The following is a 23,270-nucleotide window of genomic DNA, read 5'->3' on the forward strand; positions in this document are numbered from 1 at the left end:
GAAAAAGGTAAAATATATCCAAAGAGAAGACACCAAATCACCAACAAGGAACTACTATCAGGAATCTAAAATAAGAACTTAAGTTTCCACTAAAAAAGAAAAATCAAGGAATGACAACTAAAAATGACGCCACAGCAAGAGGAAATGGTGGCTAGTGAACAGGCTTTCAGGATGAGCACGTTCCCTTCTTTACTTTGTGTATTCGTGGAGGGAAAGATTTGCAGCCTTGCATTTCTGCGATTCCTCATAAGGTTCTGAAAGCTCCATGACTTAATTCCTCAGAGCCCAGAGTTAGATTTTCCAGGGCAAAGGACACAACTCATCCTGGACAGCCTGATTAACTTCAGAGGAAAAGCCTCAATGCAAACTGCACCAAAGTCTCCTAAAATGGAATTTGCAAGAATCGAGCAGCTAAAGACAAGCTTGGCTGCAACAAGGAACCCAGTAACCACAGGGATTCCTGAAAGAGACCAGTTTCATTAAAATGTTTGCCTAGGGCGGGGCGTAGCTCATGCCTGTAATCCCAGCACTTTGGGAGGCCGAGGTGGGCAGATCACGAGGTCAGAAGATCGAGACCATCCTGGCTAACACGGTGAAACCCCATCTCTACTAAAAATACAAAAAATTAGCCAGGCATAGTGGCACCTGCCTGTAGTCCCAGCTCCTTGGGAGTCTGAGGCAGGAGAATCACGTGAACCAGGGAGTTGGAGGTTGCAGTGAGTCAAAATTGCACCACTGCACTCCAGTCTGGGCAACAGAGCGAGACTCCATCTCAAAACAAAACAAAACAAACAAACAAACAAAAAGCACGCAAAAAAAGTTTGCCTAATTTGGGGCATGTAATCTTGTCCACTAACAGTTGCTTTGAATTTTCAGCCAATGGAATGTCTAGATTGTGGAGACACAACTTAAAAAATGTTCTTAAAATATAAGGAAGAGAACTATCAAAGTTGTGGATGAAGAGGAGTATGTGTTCATTTACCATGACTTAGACATCAGATATTTTAGCTGCCTAAATTTTACTGGTGACTAAAATCCCACAAATTCATTTCTAGGTCAATTGTCTTTGATTTTCACTAAGGAAAAATAAGGAAGACTAAATAAAAACCCGAAGAGCACATTGCTTCAGAATTTTTCTTCAATGGAACCAGTGGGAATTTGAAAGAAGACTATACATACAAACTTCATATTTATATATAACAGGCAAATTAGGAAATAAAACAGAGTAGTACATCAGGAAAAAATTAAAAGAGGGAGAATTAAAGAGTTATATAATAATCTCACTAACTTAGTCTTTATCTTGACCAAAGAATATTCTCTCCTCTCGCCTCTGCTAAGATGAGCCAGTGTAAGGAAATGAGACCTATGCCCTATTTGGATCACAAAATGGCTTTGCTGGAATTGCCCGAAATATGTTACAAAGCCATTGCCCCCAGTGAGGCCTCTTCCCAGCGAGGCTGGGCATGTGAGCTCATATCTCCTATGTGAAGGGTCATGGCCTGGGGTTCCCAGCCACACACCTTGTTCTCATAACCCCTGCAGAGACGTGACTGGGTTTGAGATGAGAACTGAAATGGTACAAAAAAATCTGGTGAGCAAGAGGCTCACTAGAAACAAATGTACTCTTCTTTTGCATTCCCTACAGCATGAGATAAAGCCCAGGAAATCATCTTGTCTTCTCCAGGTGAGCAGAGGTTATAGTCTCCAAAATATCAGAGACCTTGCTCTACTAGAGTGTGCATTTCAGGCTGAAAGGGGCCTGGCCTGGGGGTTTTTCCAAGTTTTATTTTTCATAAAGTGCAACCACATTACTGCCAATAAAACATACTTCTGATAAGAATCTGAGCAGAACCTCGTCTAACAGCAACACTTTCCCCCTCCTCCAAATATGGAAATACCATTTTTTGTTTTGCGGATTACCAAAGTATTACATCATTATTGAAAAAATCTAAGTAATAAAGGGATGTAAAAATGAGAAAGTGAATATCTTCATTCCGATCCGATAGCACTCCATAAAAAGACACTATTAACAGTTTAAATCATACGTATCCCCTTAGACATTTAAATGCATATGTATGAAACCCATATACTCTAACTATAAACAGGATCATTCTATATTATTCTTTAACCTTCATTTTCACTTAAAAGAATATTGGCTGGGTCCGGTGGCTCATGCCTCTAATCTCAGCACTTTGGGAGGCCGAGGCGGGCAGATCACAAGGTCAGGAGTTCGAGACCAGCCTGGCCAACATGGTGAAACCCCGTCTCTACTAAAAATACAAAAATTAGCCAGGGGTGGTGGTGCAAGCCTGTAGTCCCAGCTACTCGGGAGGCTGAGGCAGGAGAATCACTTGAATCTGGGAGGTGGAGGTTGTGGTGATCCAAGATCGTGCCACTGCACTCCAGCCTGGGCAACAGAGCGAGACTCCATCTCAAAAAAAAAAAAAAAAAAAAAAAAAGAATACTGTGGAAATTCCTCCATGTTATACATATAGATGTAGCTCATTTACCCTTTCAAATTGCTAAATTTTCATTTATCGATGGATTCAACAAATAATCAATTGAGCACTGCCCTTGTGCTAAGCATCGAATTAGGTAACAGACACAATGGTTCATAATGTGAGGCTTACAGCCCTTTGCTATTCCATTATGTGGAATTTAGTTAACTAATTCCCCTTGATAGACATTTAGGTTGACTCCACTTTTCTTTTATTCACTTGGTCATGGTTCCCGTATCCCTTAGGTAGAATTTATTGCAAAGAGGTTCTTCATGTCATTGGCAAGAACTTATTCTTGTACATCTATTGCCACTAGACTGTAAGCACCTGTTTTAATGGTGCTTATGGTGTAGTGGCAATAGACATACAATAAACAAAATAAATAATTGAAATGGTAGATGAAGATGTGCCACGGAGAAGAGTAAAGAAGAGAAGGGAGTTGCAGAATACCAGCAGTCAGTGAACGGGTGTCGGAGTTTTGAATCAGAAGCCAGGGAAGACCCCACTGAGAAAGCAACATTGGAAAAAGACCAGAGGAAGTGAGGCAGGGCACCATGGAGGTAAGTGTGAGAAGACTCTTTCAGGAGTGAAAACAGTGAACGAGAGGGCTCTAAACTGGAGGCGTGCCTAGCGTGATCCAGGATGTGGCTAGAGTGGAGGGTATGAGGGTATGAAGGAGATGACGTCAGCACCATCATGCGGGGCCAGGTGATGTGGGGCCTGGACATGACTATAGGGACTTTCAGCTTTCACTCTGGACTGAGGCTGAGCCAGTGCAGGGTTTTTAGCAGATAGAGCTGATTTATATTGGCAAGAACTTATTCTTTCCAATGACATGAAGAACCTCTTTGCAGTAAATTCTCCAATAAGCCAGTTTCCTCTAAAGCCGTTATAACCCAACTACACATCTTGCAAGCTTACATACCCCCTAAGATGAGAATTAAATTGGAAATGGAGTTGGAATTCCACGCCTCACTCCCCGCCCCCCATGGTCTGCCTGAGTTATAGTGACAGACATGTGAGTTTGGCATTTGCTATTCGAGAGCTTAGGAGGGCACACCCACCCTGCTCTTAAAAGAGTGCACTGTTGTAACCATGTAAATACGCTCTCTCCTGTTTCAACCTAAAGACATATTTTACCTCAACAGCACCCTACATCTTCTATTGCTTGAAATTCAACTCCTGATGGCATCTCCTTTCCCAGCTACTCCAAGTCCATCTAATGTCTAAGTCTGCCTCCACTCCCTCCCAGGTTGCCAGCAATTGGAGGGGTACTTTCACTGCATGCTTAAAGGGCCCATGAGAAAGTGGACAGAGGCCTTACTAAATGGTCACATTCCAGGCCTACAGAAACTCCAAGGCTGTCCCAAACAAAGAAACTGTGGGAGTGTCTGAAGTCAAAGGCTTCAGATGAAGTCCACATGTCTCTTCACCATCAGACCACCTGGCCGTCAGACCATTGCAACAGAGCTGCCTGTTTTGGCTGCCTTGGGAGCCAGATGCTGGACCAGAGCAGGCTGCATCCAGGGAAGAGGAGGGTGCTCTGGGGCCTCAACAGCCCCTCAAGGCTGCCATAGGTTAAAACCTTACTCTGGGAAACTTCTGAGGAATTCCTTTTGCAATAAATGTCCGCTTAACTAGGGTACTAAATATTATCTTACTTAAAACTCATTATTACTACTTTGGGTTCTGATAAAACCATAAAACAAAACAGTCGGCCCTCATGGACTGGGGAGGCAAATAAATCCATCATGGTGATCCAGGGCTCATCACTTAACTTAGCAGAGGAGGTATAGGAGGAGCTCAAGTCCCCATTTTTAGATATCCTCTAGAGGCCACAAATTCATTCGGTAAATTGACTCAAGACCCTCCATAGACTCTAAGAATAGTTCATAATTTTTTTATTTATTTGGCACACATGTGTTTAACATCTACAGCTTCCTGGTTTAGAAAGAATCTTTTTGTAAAAATAGTATCCTACATAGGACAGGGAAATAACAGGAATCTGAGATTCTGGTTGCAATTCAGAGTATTTCTTTTTCTTTGCTTTTTTTTTTTTTTTTTTTTTTTTTTTTTTTGAGACAGGGTCTTGCTCTGTCTCCCAGACTGGAGTGCAGTGGCACGATCTCAGCTCACTGCAACCTCTGCCTCCCAGGTTCAAGCAATTCTTGTGGCTCAGCCTCTGGAGTAGCTGAGACTTCAGGCATACGCCGCCACACCCGGCTAATTTTTGTATTTTCAGTAGAGACGGGTTTTTGGCATGTTGACCAGGTTGGTCTCAAACTCCTGGCCTCAAGTGATCTGCCTGCTCCAGCCTCTCAAAGTGCTGGGATTACAGCCATGAGCCACCATGCCCAGTCTGGAGCATTTTCAATAATATTTTATCCTCATGATTTCACTGTAGAATTGATGTGAGATATGCTATATCTTGGTTTTTCTCCAAGGATAAGGGGTGTAGAGAAGCTAACTGCCATGATAAATTCATGCAACTCACGGTCCCAGGGGTGTAGAACCAGAACCATCCTCTTCACCCTCACCCCTTCCATGTCTCTGGCTGGATCACTTTCAGGGTTTCAGTGGCTGCTTCTGTTGGAAGGTACTATCCTGGCCAACATGGCTAAAAGTATTAATGTTTGTCTATCAAACTTACGAAAATATTAACGTTTATTCATCAAACATATGTACAAGTGAGAATCCCATTAATTGGTGAACAGAAAGAGAATATGCAATAATTTCTTAACCTCTTGCATCTTTTGCTCCCCCCAGCAAGGTGTGTAGAAAGAGAATTGGACTTGGTAGCAGAACAACTCCACTGAAGTTCTAAATATGGTGCTGTGTTATGTGACCTTGGGCAAGTCCTTGAACATCTCTTGGTCTCATTTGCTCTGCAGTAAAATAGGCACAATAGCACCCTTTCCATAGGGCTGTTTTGGAGGACCAAGTGAGAAAGGGGGGAAAATTCATTTTTCCCAATGAATAGGGAAAAGGTCAGCATCATGGCCGGCATCTAGCAGGTGCTCGCTAAACATGGACTATTCATCTGAATGAGATAAAGGTTCAGTTTGGTTGGGTTGTTTACAACGATGAGCCCTCCAGAGTTGGGGACATTCTCCCCATTGTTTTACTTCCACAGAGAACTAGAAAGAAAAAGAGCATGAAAGTGATAGATGCAAGAAAGAACGAGAGAACCACTGTTGGCTTCCAGCCCGACTCCCCTCCTCAGATTGCTAGCCAGGGGTGAAAGACATCTGTGGATGTGCACCCAGAGTGGACTGCCAGACCCCCACTGAGGGTTTTCCTGCATGGAAATCCTTATTCTAACCTGAAATTAAGCAAAGACCCATTAGAGAAGCAGTTGAAGGTGAGCTGAAGGCTGCTTTTTGTTTTGTTTTGTTGTCTTTTTTCCTGGGGCTGAGGAGGCTGTGGCTCTGTATACAGATCCCACGAGCCCCGCTTGAGTGTCACTCATCAGTCACAGCAACCGTGTGATGCTTGGCTGTGTTGATGGCCTTCTCCAGGAGGAGCCCCAGGGCTCTCTTATGTTAGCAGTGCCCCAGGAGCAGGGAGGAGTTGCTTGGATCACTGCCTCTAGTTGGTCTTGTGACCTCTGCCTCTGCTCCATCAGATCTGTTCTTCACTCGGCAGCCATTCTCAGGACCTGAAACGCCCTCCTTTCCAACTCAACCTCTCCCATTTTCTAAACGTTCTCATTGCCCTAATTCCTACACACTCACCCTGCAGATCTCACTGAACATGCCCTCCTTGGGGAGGCCTTCTCTGACCACCCGGAACATGACTTGCTCCAATCACATCTTGTGCTTAGGAAAAGCATTTACTACAATTGGAATTATTTGCACAGTTATATGCTTAAAATCTACATCTCCTGCCAGATGCTAAACTCCACTGTAGGGGGATTCTGTCTTGTTTCATATTGTATCCCTGGCACCTAACGCCATTCCTGACAGATGCTTAATAAGCATTTATTGTCATTGACAAATTGACAATTTGTTGCCATTGACGAGCATTTTATTTTGCTGTGGCGCCAGCATCCCACCTTCAGGCTTTTTGCTCTTCTGGATAAATGCAGGCACCTCTTCCTTGTTGGACACAGCTCTAGTTGCAAGGGATATATTCCCTAAATGACCCAGGCCATTCATTCAAGGAACTCCTGCTGCAGGAATCAATGCTTTGTGGTAAAAACCACACCACATTTCTTCAATTACCAGGCTAATAAATAAGGCAACAACAACAACAACCCACAGTGTTTTCTAACTCCATTCTGAATCTCAGTAAAGAAATCTGTGTCATTACCATGATGTTCCTTAAGCAGAATCTGCATTGATTAGATTATCTGCATTGTGAGTTTGCTCTGAATGGGTCCAAAGCAGCAAGAAAATACTGATTTTGGATAAAAGAGGACGTAGAACAACTGTTGCAGATTAGAAATTAGGAGGTGCCCCAAAAAGCCATTGAAGGAAGGGAAGAAGAACAAGAGGAAGGAAAACAAAAGGAAGGAAGCAAGGAAGGGAGAAAAGGTAGATGGGAGGATGGATGTTGGGGTGGAAAGCAGGATAAAATGATAGATTGAAGGGAGGATAGGAAGTAACAAAGACTGAGGAAAACATAAATCAGGTAATAAACAAAACCAATTAGTTATGTCTGTGATTACCAGCACAGGGAGCCGATCTATTAAACTGACAAGAGAGAAAAGAGCATGGAAAGTTATAAGCAACCAGTCCTCTGGCTAACCTTGCCAGCTGTATAAGAATCTGTATTAAAGGAAGCTTTGCTCCTACCACTTTACCAAGCCCGTAGAAAAAGCAGCACCCAACAGCATCCTCGGGACAAAGATGGGTGTGTCCTGAGATGGTGGCAGGAAGGTGCTACCAAAAGACAAATGTTCCACCATCCTCTTCTCTTCCCCAGCCTCCCCTCTCAGGTCTGCAGGGCTTTTAAGGGCTCATTAAAGTTGTCATATAAAAATGCAGGATATCCAGTTAAATTTGAACTTCAGATAAACAATGAATACTTTTTTAAGTATGTCCCAAATGTTGATGGGCATACTTACACAAAAAATCTGTGGTTTATCTGAAGTTAAAATTTAACTGAACATCCCGCATTTTTATTTGCTAACTCTAGTAATCCACATCACTGAGTATATTATCCCCTCCTTCAGATTCCTTTGTGTTCATGGCTGAAAGAAGGCCATGTGTTTATATTTCCACAGTCTAAGGATTCCATTTGCATCAGGATTATATTGATCTACGCTGTGGCCAGCGGAGGCTAATATTATGTCTGAGGTGAGGAGTGAGGCTCCTTCTTCTTCCTTCTGAGTCACCGTTGATTCTCACTTCCATCCAATCCTGTTCAAACATCAGGCCTCTTGTAATAAAAAGTTTGACTCAATTTTTTGATGCTTGACTGCTCACAGCTTTTGGACATCACCCGTTCCTCTTCCTCCTTGTGCCCTACACATCTGGGCTAGCTGATAAGAAAAGGTGCTCCTTCCTCGACACCAGCGGGAGACTCAAACCAGGCAAGCCCCCGTTCCTATGCAGGAGCCCTCATTCTGTATGTACCCCCTAATGGCAATAAAAACCCCGAGCTGTCTCTTTTCCTCTTCTCTCAAGCCATCTTGGGACTAGTTTGGTAGGCTTGTCCTGCTCTGCTGAGAAGCTCCCATTATGTAAGTAGAAAACCTGTTCGTATCCCTTTAGTGTATGTATAGCATCATCAATCTTGATATCTGAACTAAATTTTGGATAGTGGTCCATTCTGTCTAAAGAGTGGTCACAACACCTCTCAAAGTCTTTCCCTAGTTTATTCATGTCTCAGCAACCACACTGCAGGGACAGGAAAGGAACAGAATTCCTATTTGTGTTCCTACTGCATGCCAATTACACTGCTAAAAAGTATATATATTCCCTATTTATACAGCAGGTGTGGAGATGCCCTAACTATACCTGCTGGTGTTTCCACATCATCCTGGAGGCTCAGAGTGTTGTCTTAAGGGCACAGAGTTAAACCTGGCCATGTCCGACAAAAACACCACTTTCCAGGCCCAGCCAATAGGATACCCCGTGGTGAGTGGAAATGGTAGCTATGGCTCAGAGTTCAGGGAGTAAAGAGACTCCAAAGAGGTAAGAACCTCTGGGGTTTTCAAGGCCCATCAATCACTAAACAGACCAAACCAAGTGGGGTCTGGGCGGAATAAGAACAGACTCAGAGAAGCCCCACAGCAAATGGCCATCCAACTCTGGAAAGGTCTTAGTGCTGTTGAGGGCAACTTGTCACCCATTCCCAGGCTCTGGCTGGACAAGAATTATATTTTCAGAACAAATTGGATGCCACTGAGAAGTAACAAATACAGCATATTGACTGATTGAGTGCATTAATTCTTTCTTACCCAGGGGAAGAAATGATTCTCAGTTGTTTTATTGCTGTGTTTAAAATCAGCTTTTCACAAGAATGTAAGAGAGGTGAGAAAGAGGAATAAACTAATTTTTAAAAAACACAAAACCACCTTTATTTGTCATAAGGAAAAGAAATACAGCCACAAGGAAATCCTTGTCTCTCAACAGTTCTTTTTTTTTTAGACAGGGTCTCACTCTGTCACCCAGGCTGGAGTGCAGTGGCGCCATCGTGGCTCACCAGTGTCACCTCCTGAGTAGCTGGGACAACTGGCATGCACCACCACACCTGACTATAATTTTCTTCTACTTTGTGTAGAGACAGGGTCTATGTTGCCCATGCTGCTCTCAACTTCATTTCCTGTCACTGCTACCATTTCTTAATCCAAGCCTTCACTGTCTTCACTGTCTCCCATCTGAACTCAAAAATATTAACTGCTCAGCCTCTTTAAGGCTCCCCACCTGTTCAAGTCATGTCCTTTCTCAAAAATCTTCCACGGTTCCCTACTGATGACAGATTAAATGCCAAACCCCATAGCCTCGTACTCAGGGCCTCTCAAGGCCGCACCCCAACCTGATTGGAGTCACCAAACTCCTCACCCTAGCTTGACCTTGACAAGTGTTTTTATTGCCTCTCCAGCCCTATAAAGGAAGCTCGGAGGAGAATAAAAACAAAACATTTTGTAAACATGGATGTGTTTCCCAAAAGTTAACATTAAAATTCCAACTCTCTCCTTCTCCTTGGAGTCTTCCTTGGTGTTTAGGTGGAGATGGTCACTTCCATTCGGTGTCTTTCCTCTCCCCAGGGAGCACTGAGTGCACCTATGGAGTTTTGCTGTGCTTCCCTCTGTAGCACTGAGAAAGGCGCTGGCATGTGGTAAATGCTCAAGAAACGATGGCTCCATTCTATTGCATCTATTTCGTATTGACTGTAGATGCTGTTACATTGCTTTTGTCATTTTTAAGAATTCCATGAACCAGAGGGCAGCTGAACTATTCAAAAATATTGGTGTTAGGTGAATAGCAAGGTAGCTGGCAAGTATTCCTGGCAATCATTCAGTTGGTAATAATGAAAGATCGTACCTTTCCAAAGCTACTGTCTGTGGTCATCTTTTCAGAGAGTCTTCTTTCTGTATCTGGGAAACTGAGACTTTCTTTATACAGGTCCAAAGTTTATCAGCAATGGTACCGGTATTGGTTTTCTCCTTATGTTTTGTTTTTCCTAGGAAACTGAGAGTAGTCTCAAGGGACTTTTTTGGTGATAGTATACTCACTACAAAGCTGGCAAACAATAAGAAAAAGTCACCCAGCCGGGCGCAGTGGCTCCTGCCTGTAATCCCAGCACTTTGGGAGGCCAAGGTGGGTGGATCACCTGAGGTCAAGAGTTCGAGATCAGCCTGCCCAACATGGCGAAACCCCATCTCCACTCAAAATACAAAAATTAGCTGGGCGTGGTGGCAGGTGCCTGTAATCCCAGTTACTCGGGAAGGTGAGGCAGGAGAATCGCTTGAACCTGGGAGGCAGAGGTTGCAGTGAGCCAAGATTGCGCCACTGCACTCCAGCCTGAGTGACAAGAGCGAAACTCCATCTCAAAAAAACAAAAAAAAAAAAAAAAAAAAGAAGAAGAAGAAGAAAAAAAGAAAATATCACCTAGAACACGGAACGCCAAAAAACGCTATCTGCGGTTGGCTTGCTTACACAGGAGACATGATAAGGCACAATGGTTAAGGACAGGCTGTTGGCATCAGAGGACCCTGAATGCCAGTGCTGGCTTCAAGACCTCGTGGCTGTGTGACCCTGAGGAACTCATACTTCTCTGTGCATCAGTTTCCTCAACTGATGCATCGGGGTTTTTGTGTGGATCACGTGAGATAATGCAACAGTACTGGCAAAGTAAGCACTCAACAGTATCTTAATCACCTTCATCATCTTCATCATCATCATCATTCTTGTCTCTCTGACTCTATGTCCTTCTATTTCAAGTTACCTCCCTCCACTTGAGCTTCACTTGTCTCTTTCCTCAAACTTGCCTGGCATTATCCCCCCATTTAGGGTACACGTGCTGTTCTCTGTGCCTCAAATGCCTCCCTACTCCCATATCCTCATGGCTTGAATGTCTCCATCCCCAATATTCTCATGGATCCAGGATCCTCTCATATCTTCACGGCTTGAATATCACCCCCTATGTCCTCATAGTTTGGATGCCTCCCCTCGTGTCCCTGTGGCTCCAATTCTCCCCACCATGTCCTCATGGCTCCTTACCTCCTCATTACCTCCTTCAGGTCTACCCCAGTCTCCCCTTCTCAGTAGTGTCCTCTCTTACCCCCCCAGTTAAAAAAATAATACCTGATCCTCCTTCTCTACATTTTGGGTTGCCTTAACACTTGCAATTCTAATATACTAACAGTTTTATTTAGTTTAGTGTCTATCTTTCCCTGTGTGATGGTTAATATTGAGTGTCAACTTGATTGGATTGAAGGATGCAAAGTGTCATCTCTGGGTGTGCCTGTAATGGTGTTACTAAAGATTAACATTTGAGTCAGTGGACTGGGAGAGGCAGACCCATCCTCAATCTGGGTGGGCACCATCTAATCAACTGCCAGCATGGCTAGAATAAAGCAGGCAGAAGTTGGAAGGACTAGGCTTGATGAGTCTTCCGGCTTCCATCTTTCTCCCCTGCTGGATGCTTACTGCCCTGGAACATCACACTCCAAGTTGTTCAGCTTTTGGACTCTTGGACTTACACCAGTGATTTGCCAGGGTCTCTCAGGCCTTCAGCCACAGACTGAAGGGTGCACTGTCGGCTTCCCTACTTTTGAGGTTTTAGGGCTTGGACTGGCTTCTCTGTTCCTCAGCTTGCAGATGGCCTACTGTGGGACTTCACCTTGTGATTGTGTGAGTCGATTCTCCTAATAAACTCCCCTTCATATATGCATCTATCCTATTCGTTCTGTCTCTCTAGAGACCCCTGACTAATACACCCTGCTAAAATGGAGGCTTCATGAGGCCATTGATTTGGGTCTGTTTTGTTCACTGCTATAACCCCAGTGCCTAGAACAAGGCCTAGCAAGTAACAGTTGCTTAATAAAAATCTATTGCCTGAATGAAGAAATTATTAAAACCCAATTTTGTCTCAATTCTAATTTGACCCCTGTTCCCTCTACTCCTAATCTCACCATACAGATTATAAAAGAGTTAAATTAGCAGAGGACACTGCTTTTAGAATCATGTACAGGGTCTCTTTTAAACACTCACTGTTACCACTAACATCTGCTGAACTAAAAGTGTGTGCAGGCACTAGACCAGCTGCCCAGTGCTATGGACTGAAATAAAGGCCAGTCCCTTCTTGCATGAGTCCATAGGACTTTCACATACACTATTTCAGCAGATCCTTGAAATATCATGAGAAAGGAAGAAGGAAGATTAATTATCCCAATATTAACAAAGTGGAGGGTGAAGAATTACGGGCTTACCCAAGGTTTTATATGTATAGCCAATAAGTACCCAAGGTGGAGGAGAACACAGATCTCTGTACTCCTTCCACTCTGCAGGGTATCTCATGGTAGAAAGCAGAGCAGAGGCTCAGAAAGGATGTGTGTATATTTGTGTGCTTAAGGAAAAGCTTTCCTGTTTAGCTATTTACTATCTGGTTACTATTTCCATGTCTTGTTAAGAGAAAATGAAAATGGAAGCTTAATCTAAAGAGAGGAAAGATGAACATATATCCACAAAGTGGTTTAAAAAAACCCAAACAGACAGACAAAAAAACCAACAAAGCCTCCCCACATCTCTATAAGACAGGTTCTGTGTGCCAGTAGGCAAACCACCTTCTATCTAAAGCTGTCTGTGTGTGCCTGGCTGGGTTTACTCACATACCATGCTGCACACCCCCATCCATCCCCCTTCCCAGCAGGAACCACCTAAGATTTTTCCTGCTCATTCTAAATGCTAATAAGATAATTTAACTTCTATTCAACTATCTTTATTTTTTCTAGTCTAATTACAGCAAATACTGTAAAAACAAACAACTCTGTAGAATCAGTGTAAAAAAATTGTATTCCCCAAATATTCTAAAGTTGTTCAAAATAGCTTGTAGTATTTTCCTGGACTATCACTATTCAGGCTAGGGACAGCTGAAGCAAGGTCAGGTAGATCCTACTCCCTGCTAGCCAGGCCAGGCCAAGGAGAGGAGGCACCCGGAATTCTGCATCCTGTATCCCTGTGTACACACACAGTAAACCACTTAAAAATACACATGCTGCTGAATCGCAAGATGTGCTAACTCCATTAAAAGAAATTGCAAAGAAAATTACATTCTGCTTTTTCCTGAATAATGTGACTTCTGGCCTTATCTATTTAATCTTGCAGCACAGACAAGCTTATTAGTACACATAGCTCAGCAGTTATGATGTCAGCAAACACAGCTCCATAGAGGTGATCTAAGAAGAGGAGACTTTACAGCTATGCGTTTATCATGTGTAGCTAGCAAACACCTTAAATTTATACAAATGACATACAGTATATCATCAGAAGCACAAATATAGTCATGTAATAAATGGCTGGGACTGACAACCTAAGCCTTCCTCATTGAAGATACAGCTAAAGTTTCAAACATGCTTACTCCTATAATCAAATTCAGCTTTATGGATGGGATTGAAACAAAAATGATTACAGTGAAAGGAAAAAAAAAAAGGAGGGGCTAGGTATGGTGGCTCATTTTCCCAGCATTTTGGGAGGCTGAGGCAGGAGGATCACTTGAGTCCAGAAGTTCGAGACCAGCCTAAGCAGCATAGGGAGACCTCATCTCTACAAAAAAAAAAAAAAAAAAAAAAAATTAACCAAGCATGGTGGCATGCATCTGTGGTCTCAGCTACTCAGGAAGCTGAGGTGTGAGAATCACTTTAGCCCAGGAGGTCAAGGCTGCAGCAAGCCATGATGGCACCACTGCACTCCAGCCTTGGCAATACAGCGAAAGCCTGTCTCAAAAAAAAAAAAAAAAAGAAAAGAAAAAAAAAAAGGGCCGGGTGCGGTGGCTCACACCTGTAATCCCAGCACTTTGGGAGGCTGAGGTGGGAGGATCACGAGGTCAGGAGTTTGAGGCCAGCCTGGCCAACATAGCGAAACTCTGTCTCTACTGAAAAAAAAAAAAATTAGCTGGGCGTGGTGGTGGGCACCTGTAATCCCAGCTATGTGGGAGGCTGAGGCAGGAAAATCGCTTGAACCCCTGAAGTGGTGCACCACTGCACTCCAGCCTGGGAGTGAGACTCTGTCTCAAAGAAAAAAAAAAAGAAAGAAAGAAAAAGGAAATTCATCCACATAATTTTATTGAAGAAGAAAGCAATAAAGGAAGGATGCTATATGTAAGTATTCCATTTGAATAACTGTGAAGATAAATTTGCTAGTTTTCTCTTTCCATTCATCATGAATTATGATGTGCAACAATGTATAAAATGATACAGAGCACTATGCTAATCCTGAGTCAATTGCTTATTTCTTTAAGAATAGCTTTTTCCATTATAAGAAAATTATGCAAATATAGAATTTGACTGTATTCATAGAGAAGTGATAATAAAAGAACATAGAAGCACAGTAAAATACTAGAATTAACACAACAGTGATCAAATCTGAGTTGAATCCATTTTTGTTTCGTAGCAAAAAATAAAAATTTATGTATATAGTTTGATAAACTGATCCTCATTAGATTACAAGGATTTTTTTTTAAGTTTAGGTTCCAGGATACGGTACAGAACGTGCAGGTAGGTTTGTTACATAGGTAAATGTGTGCCATGGTGGTCTGCTGTGCCTGTCAACCTATTGCCTAGGTATTAAGCCCTGCATGCATTAGCTATTTGTCCTGATGCTCTCCCTCCATCCAACCCCTGGACAGGCCCCAATATGTGTTGTTCCCCCTCCCCTGTGTCCCTGTGTTCTCATTGTTCAGCTCCCACCTATGAGTTAGAACATGTGGTGTTTGGTTTTCTATTCCTGTGTTAGTTTGCTGAGGATGATGGCTTCCAGCTCCATCCACGTCCCTGCAAAGGACATGATCTCATTCCTTTTCATGGCTTACAAGGATTCTAAATATATATTTACATATGTATTAAAGAGTGTATTTTAAAATATTTAAATTTATTCCCAGTAGATCAAATAGCAGGATTGAAAAATTAGAATGAATATCATTCCTAGAATAAAGGCCATGAGCTATGCACTTTAGCACATGAGAGATGCTTGGAATAGTGTCTTTACTCAGGAAGATTCCATCTCCCTTTCAGTTATTTCACAAGAATTTCCTGAAAACTCAGTGTGTTCCTGGATATTACAGTAGGTCCAAAGCATGATATGGGATGGAATGGCAGGGGAGACTGGTCAGCTGGTAGAGCAGATAGAGGACTGCTTTATACAAAAGTTGTGATATCTATATTCAAATAGCATAATCTAGTTAAGGCAATAACACGTTACACATGAAACATTTAAGTCTACAACAAAGGTAGGAGTTCTCTTCACTATGAGATTGGGTTAAGGAGCAATTAGAATTGTTGGGTTTTGCCTTTAACCTAACCTATTAAGAAAGGTAAAGGTGGTTTTATGGGCACAGGGGGATGTTGACAGGTGAGTACAAAGGGAAAGTGATACTTTCCTCTTGAACTTTCCCTGCCTTTCATTCCCTGGACTACCTCAAATAACACTGAGCTGTGAGTGACACTATCAATTCTGAGGCTGTTTTCATTATTCACAGATGCCAGAAGAAATAGGATGACAATAAACCAATCTCTTCATGAATTTATGAGGACAGATATCAGAATCGAATTATAAAAATGTCCTGAGGATGAGGCACACAGCAAAGCTGTGACCAAGTTTTGTCTGAAATCTGCTCCTAATTGCTAAGGGAGCAAAGGACTGAGTAACCCCCAACACTTGAGTAACCACAGTAAGTGGGAAAGGATCCCTTCGGGCCAAGGCTCGGCTGGGAAATCACAGAGGTGGTTTGGACAGCGTGTGAACTCCTTTAAACCCGAGAGAAGTTAAGAAGGCACTGAGATGTAAACAGCCCAGAGCCTTGACTTGGAGAAGTGTCTTCCAAGGAGAATGCAATTTGTTGGTGGAACGAACCAAAGACAGATCGACAGATCAAGGCTCAGGCCCTGGGCCATCATGCTACCTCTGATAGCCCCTTTCTCCCTTCCTCAGCTCCTACCATCTTTGGCATTCAGGGTCCTCATGATCCTCCCCAAAGACTCCAGTCCAGCCCCCTCAGTCCCCTGGTGCTCATCTACTGCAGGCAGGGAAGCACAGTCTACCTGTATCAACCTAGATGGGAATCCCAGCTCTGTCTTCCCAGCAGACTATCCCTGACCTCCACCTCTTCCCAAAGCAAATATATTTTTAGCTTCTTGAAACCAGAGCATTTTAAACATCTCCAATTTCAAACAGAACCAAATCCTTACATGTGCATAATTCAAAGTTCACTTGGGTGATTATCATAGTCAAAGAAACAGTTCCAAAGTAACGGAGAAGTCTCCATCTCTAGCAAGACACGTAGTGCTGGCAGATCTTAAAATGAGTTTTTATCTTTTATCTTCTTTCTATCAAGTTTTAAAAGTCTTAGGATCTGAGTTTCAGGCTGTGCAGAGATCCAGTTTCACTTCTAGTTTATCTACCATATATCTTCATTGTCAAGATCAAGCTTAGTCAGGCAAACTACCTATGGAAATTTCTACTAAGCACGTGTCCCTGCCATGGGAGCAGGAAGCTATTACAATCGGCAGGCTGTTACAGCAGTGCTGCTTGGCCCTTTATACTTCCAGGCACACAGAGAAAATGACACTATGTATGCAGTACTCTGGTAAGTGGATGAGAATGCTGAAGGCTCCAGGAAGCCGGGTACTCCTGCTGCCTGGAAAGCCAAGGGATCAATAACACCTCATTCACAGCTCACCTGGGATGAGAAATCCTGACTTAAATAACCAAAATAAAATTTAATAATCGTATGGTGAGGAAAGACTGCTGGTGCCTTTGTAGGAATCAAAGCAGTGGCTTTGAAGCATTAGTCTTTGGATCTTCATGTCATCATCAAGCATTTCTGGGGGGTAGGGTGGGGGGGACTATTCATTTCACCGAGAACGTCCTTGATAAAGCAGTAAAAATTAAAATTTTATGAACTCTCAAAAAACGTAGTAATTGCAGAAAAAAGAAAATCCAACAAACCTATTATGCATGCTCCACCATTGATTCAGAATAACTCAATTGCTTTTTCTTAGATAATAGAGCCACTTTACCATTTTAGCCTGTCATCTCTTATTGTTTAAAATACACATAAACCCAGACGGGTGATGTTCAGTGCCCAGCCATCACGCCCTGGTGAGCAGCAGTTTTCATTATGTGGAAACGGGCTTTGAAATGCAATGACTGAGATGTAGGGGGAGAAAATCTGTCCACAGAAGATTTTCTTTTCATTTCCCAGCTTCCCTCATACTGTGTCAGGTTTTCTTTGAAGACAAAATTAGATGTACTAGAGCCAAAGAATATTGCACGGTGGTCTTTCCAAGCATTGTGGAGTGACTCGAGTTAATTAGAAAACTTTATAGACAGGACTTGGTTAAGACAGTTCTTTTCTGGGAAAAGACTTAATTACAAAGTGATGTCACAATGCAGTGAGTGGGCCCTGCTTCCCTAAGTCTGTTCTGTCCTGCTATTTGGCATCACCACAATCACCTGCAATGTGATACGTCTCTAACTCATCCAAGGGCCTCCTAGTGTGCCAGTCCTAATGTTCACCCTCACTTCATTACTGGTCACCTGCCTAGCAATATGCTAAATGTTTTTTGCACATTATCTCATTTAATCTCTGTAACAACTGTAAGAGAGAGTATCACTCACCTCACTTCACAGATGAGGACACTGAGGTTTAGGGAGATTAAATAATTTATCCAAGATCTGGCAGACAGTAAGTGGTGCAGTCAGATTTGAATACAGGCACACCAGACTCCAAGTCTCTGCTTCGATCATTACGCACCACCATATCTCATTTAAAGAAAGAGAGCTGGGAATGAACACACATTTGTGTAATAGTGTACAGTTTTACAAAGCACTTTCATACCCAGTGTCTTACTTAATCCTCCACAATCATTCTATGCACTAGTTATCATTATACCGCATGTTACAGATTAAAAAATATAGGCTTGGGGAGAGAAAGTCATTGAGCCAGAATTCAGGCCTCCAGTGAAAAGATGAAATTCGGAAATGCTAAAACATGCAATTAAGTTTCATAATGGTAAGGAATGAACATAGACATCAAGGTCCAATATCTGGATTTGAGTTCCTGTTCTGTCACTTACTAGTTAGGTGACCCTGGGCAAGTCATTTAATCTGCTGTAAAATGGGCAGAATAATACCTTATAAGGTATGGACCAAATGAGGTACTGCATGTACAAGTGTTGCAGAAATTATCCAGTGTAATACAAATACTAATAGCAATAGCAACAACAATGGTTATGATACATATATATATATATGTTAGTGCCATAATTTCATGTTCACTTCAGCCTCTTCAGGATGGAAACACAAGAACACATTCAAGGCAGAGCTTCATAGCTGCTCATATTGATTCAGATTCCTGTGTTGAGATTTGAAATTCAGGTCTTCAAATGTGAAGCAAAATATTTTCCTTCAATGTTTGCAAAATGAGCTTCCTTGTTTTTTCATCAACCAAAACCAGTACCCCAAATGATCATCACCATGCATCTCTGAAACGTAAATTTTATATTAATTATAATTATATAATAATATATTACATTTATGTCTTTAACTGGATAAATGTAAATTTTACATAGATAAATCTTTGAATAGTAATAATGATGACCTTATCGTTAGCTAAGGTTCATTTCTCACTTGGATCTTTCACTAAATTCCACCAAAAAGATGTCATATCTGGGATGCCATGCTACCCTGATGGAATTACAACCTGGAATTGTTCCTCTCATTCTCATGGTGTTAGGGCAAAGATGTTCCAATCAAATATGTGCTGAGTAAGAGATATGGCCCAATCTCAATTATGCCATCACCAACACTGCCCTCAAAGCAGCCAACTCTACGATATCCAGTATAAGTGGTTCCAACATGAAACCCAGTTTAGACACCTCTGCTTTGGAAAGTTCCCGTGGCACACAGTCTGTTGGACCCACACCCAGCAGCTCTTTTCCTGCCCCACACACACAGAGTCCTGATGTCCTTCTGGCGTCTTCTCCTCCTTCCCACTGTGACACAGGCAAAATCTGGTTGGTCTAAGCCAATGATAGTGGTTGCATCTTTTTGCCAAGAATTGGTTAGGGGAAGGCTAATGAATCAGGAAAGGACAGCTGCTAGAAGCCTTTGGGGAAAGAGTCTCCTTGCTAATAAGATGGAACACAAGGAAGCGAAACAGCCTTTTCCCGCAGTTTGATGATATGGCTAAAATTGTTATGGTCATCTTGTGACTGCAAAGCCTTAGGATGAAGTGCCCCTGAGGCTGTGAGAAAGACAGATAGAAAAATCATGATGATATCATTGAGCCACCAGTTGGGCTTCCTCCCATAACTTTCAGTAGTGTGAGATAGAGAATAAATTTTCTCTGTGGCAAGCCAAGGTTGGAGTTTTTCAGACTTGTACCTGGAAGCATCCCAACTGGGACACCATGGAAACAACCACAGTTGCACTTCCCTACAGATTATCTCCTCTTTAAGCCTACTTTCCAGGGTTCCCTTTTTACACTGAGCTTGAGGAAAAGTGATTTTTTTTTTTTTTTTGAGATGGAGTTTCACTCTTGTTGCCCAGGCTGGAGTGCAATGGCACGATCTCAGCTCACCGCAACCTCTCCCTCCTGGGTTCAAGTGATTCTCCTGCCTCAGCCTCCTGAGTAGCTGGGATTACAGGTGCCCGCCACAACACCTGGCTAATTTTTGCATTTTTAGTAGAGACGGGGTTTCACCATGTTGGCCAGGCTGGTCTCGAACTCCTGACATCAGGTGATCTGCCCGCCTCGGCCTCCCAAAGTGCTGGGATTACAGGCATGAACCACCGCACCCAGTGGGAAAAGTGATTATTATACACTAATAATGGAATGAGAAAAGCTCTGATTTGAGTGAATTGCCACCATGGACTCAGACCTTCCTCCTCTAATGAAATGAGACATTTTCCTTTCAGAAAATATCCCAAAGGCTCAGGTTTGATCCCAGAGTTCAAGGGAGGCCTGGTCACCTGTCTTTTTTTGTGTCCCCATGGCTTATTAAAAAGGGAGGAAAAACAGATTTATAAAAATGGTGATTTAATCTAAGCATTTACGTTTAGCAGATTTATGACACAAGTAAAAATTCAATGCACTACAATTAGAATATTCACAAGCAAATTGTAGGATCATAAAGAATATTAATTCACAGTGCACCCTAGGTGCTGTGGTCTAGGGACCCAAGTTTAAGTGGCTTGATTGTCAGCTCGTTCATCAATCTCACCAGTATAACTCTGAGTTGACATAAAAACTTAGTGGAGAAAGTGACAAAAGTGTGGTCCTTCGTGAATATGAGGCCTTTCTCCATCTGCCTCCCACCCTGCCCATGGTGGGCTTGGCTGGCCACTGTGGTTTTTTGTGATTGAGCATATTCCTATAAAAGCACTCCCCATGAACCAGTGCTTTACACACACTAACTCATTTAATCATCATAACAACACTCTGAAGATGGTCTTACCATCATCCTTATTTTACAGATGAAGGATGAGGCACAGAGAGGTTAAGTGAGTTATGCAAGATGACACAGCAAACAAGTGGTAGAGGCAGCATTAAAATGCAGGGCCATAACCACAGAACTCTCGTTCTAAACCAGTACATTATGCAGTCTCTGTGCTGATACAATCATAAAACTATGGGGATAAAGAGAAGCAGATCTGGAGAACAGAACCAGGTTAGGCTCTCTCAAGGCCAGGGGGTGTGTGAGGTTTGTTGGTGCCACAGGATAATCACTGTGCAATATGAGTGTGGTCTCTTTTGCTCTTCTTACCCTGGAGCATGTGTGCATGCGCGGTATGTGTGTGTGTTTTCCATATGTAATTGTGCAGCAGCATCTTGTCAGTTTCATGAGTTTAATTCTGTGTGCTTTAAAAACTCCTTCAACAAAACTTCCCGAAGCCAATGCTTTGCTTTCTAACACTTATTTCTAACCAGGGTTCCACAGTGGATTAGAAATAAATCCTTAACATAATTACATTAGCCTGAAATAAGTCCATTTGTCTTTTTCTTTTAAAACAATTTTGCTATAATCACTTCAATTGTTTCTAAATTAAGCCTCATAAATGGCTCTGCAGAATGGATAGTCTCCATGATCAGAAGTGCTTCTCCAAAGAAGCAAAAACTAATCCTGGAAGTGACCTCTCACAGAATTCCCATTCTACTTTTTGAATAGGATTTAAAAAAGGGCTGACTGCGGCAAGAGTTCTGGGGGCCTCTGGAACCCAGTCTGACAAGAAGACTATTACAGAATAATTAATCACAGACCAAGATGTACAGTAGATCTGGGTGAGAGCCCTGCTTTTCCACTAAGTATATGACAGGCTAGCTATATATACTCTTGGAGCCTCAGTAATCTCACCTGCAAAATAGGGATAATAATGAGTACATGATATACAAGGTTGTATAAAGAAACATTCATAAAACCCTTAGCTTGGTGTCTATGCATATACAGAGGAAGGAGGAAACTACTGCCCTTCCCCCTACCCTCTATTCAGGTCACTTTTCAAGAGGCACTGATATCACTGGGTGAGCCCTCCAGTCCACTGTTTGCCAGAGGTGAGAACTACAGGTTGTTAAAGTCAAATATATTCCCTCTATCTCTCTCTTTCATCTGGCTCTCAAGATATGCAGAAATCCGGCACCCTCTTCCTCATCCCTTTTACTTCCACATAGTACAGGGCTGCTGTCTCTTCTGGCATAGCAGCTGGATGGTGGTGTACTTGTCTGTTCTCATGCTGCTAATAAAGACATACTTGAGACTGGGTCATCTATAAAGGAAAGAGGTTTAATTGACTCACAGTTCAGCATGGCTGGGGAGGCCTCAGGAAACTTACAATCATGGTAGAAGGGGAAGCAAACATGCCCTTCTTCACATGATGGCAGGAAGGAGAAGTGCTGAGCAAAAGGGGTAAAAGCCCCTTACAAAACCATCAGATCTCATGAGAACTCACTCACTGTAACGAGAACAGAATGAAGAGTAACTGCCCTCATGATTAAATCACCTCCCACCGGGTCCCCCCCCCATGACACGTAGGGATTATGGGAACTACAATTCAAGAAGAGATTTGGGTGGGGACACAGCCAAACCATATCAGGTGGAAACACTGGAATTTAACCAAAAGGGTGGAAGAGGCCGCATCTGGGCCTTGAGTCCAAACCATCCTCTTGACTTGATCACCGGAGAGGCCCACCCTGGTTGTCCAACTGGTGATAAAAGGTACTTTGATTTCCCAAGGTCTGTATATTTGTAGCCCCCAGAGAAACCCCCAGGAGAGAAGGGCGACTGGCAGAGCAGGATTTGGATATTTCCAGGTCTCTGGCTACAACATGACTCAACCACTACATGGAATAAAATGGCAACAGGCACGCCAAAAAGAAGTGTCACTCACCTAAACAAAGACTCCACTCATTCCTCCAAGTTGCTTCAGTTCTAGAGACAAGGACACTTTCATTCTCCTTTTAAAAATTCCCTTTTCTCCCTTTAAAGCAAACAGACAACACTTGGCCTGGAGCTTTCTGTCAGACTCTCTGAAGTCCCTCCTGCCTAGGAATGTCCGGGGGAAGTGAGAAGCCCCTACCCTCATCTTCTGCCAGGTGATGAGCAGGCCTGCCTTCTCTGGGAGATGTTTGCACTTGGCCCTGGGAAATCAGAACTCTAAAGAGGTCTCCACCTCTGATGACATGCCTTCTGCAGAGTGGCTCTCGTTTTCAGCAAGGAAGTCACACTTGCTTTTAGGGTATATCGCCTAAAAGGTTTTAGGTATGATAACAGCTGGATTTCTCTTTTCCATCAGAAATACATCCAAGTGCAGAAATGACCAGTGTCATCACCTTTTATATCACTGTTACAAACCACACATAGCTCAAAGGTAGAAACAACCCAAAAGTTCATCAACAGATGAATGGATAAACAAATGCGGCAGATACATACAATGGAATACTATCCAGCCTTAAAAAATGAAGCTCTGACACATGCTACAACATGGGTGAACCTCGAAGATATTATGCTACATGAAAGAAGCGAGACATAGGAGGACAAATATTGCATCATTCTACTTATATGAGGTACCTAGAATGGGCAAATTCTTAGAAATGGAAAGTAGAACA

At 42.7% G+C, this 23,270-nt stretch overlaps 1 protein-coding gene across 24 annotated transcripts in view, besides 1 other annotated feature; it reads right to left on the bottom strand.

The window, feature by feature from the left end:
- The window catches only part of NCALD (neurocalcin delta), a 438,366-nt gene that overhangs the window by 41,504 nt on the left and 373,592 nt on the right, over window positions 1–23,270 (bottom strand). For 4 of the 24 annotated variants that reach the window (XM_047422305.1, XM_047422316.1, XM_047422313.1 and 1 more), the window contains one exon: window positions 17,786–17,948. The exons of 18 other annotated variants lie outside the window; for them this stretch is intronic. The gene's annotated coding sequence lies outside the window, so the exon portion shown is untranslated. Of the gene's footprint in view, window positions 1–17,785; window positions 17,949–22,552; window positions 22,643–23,270 lie in introns of all 24 variants that reach the window. 2 more of the 24 variants (XM_047422303.1, XM_047422319.1) reach the window with 1 other exon arrangement.
- Window positions 22,029–23,228: an enhancer, noted in NCBI's record as "BRD4-independent group 4 enhancer chr8:102762302-102763501 (GRCh37/hg19 assembly coordinates)". NCBI's record gives its function as "activates an origin of replication core promoter dependent on BRD2, P300/CBP, MED14 and CDK7 cofactors, and independent of BRD4, by STARR-seq in HCT116 cells {active_cell/tissue: HCT116}" and the evidence as "EXISTENCE:reporter gene assay evidence [ECO:0000049][PMID:35650434]".

Source organism: Homo sapiens, chromosome 8 (genome assembly GCF_000001405.40).
Source record: "Homo sapiens chromosome 8, GRCh38.p14 Primary Assembly".
NCBI lineage: Eukaryota > Metazoa > Chordata > Mammalia > Primates > Hominidae > Homo > Homo sapiens.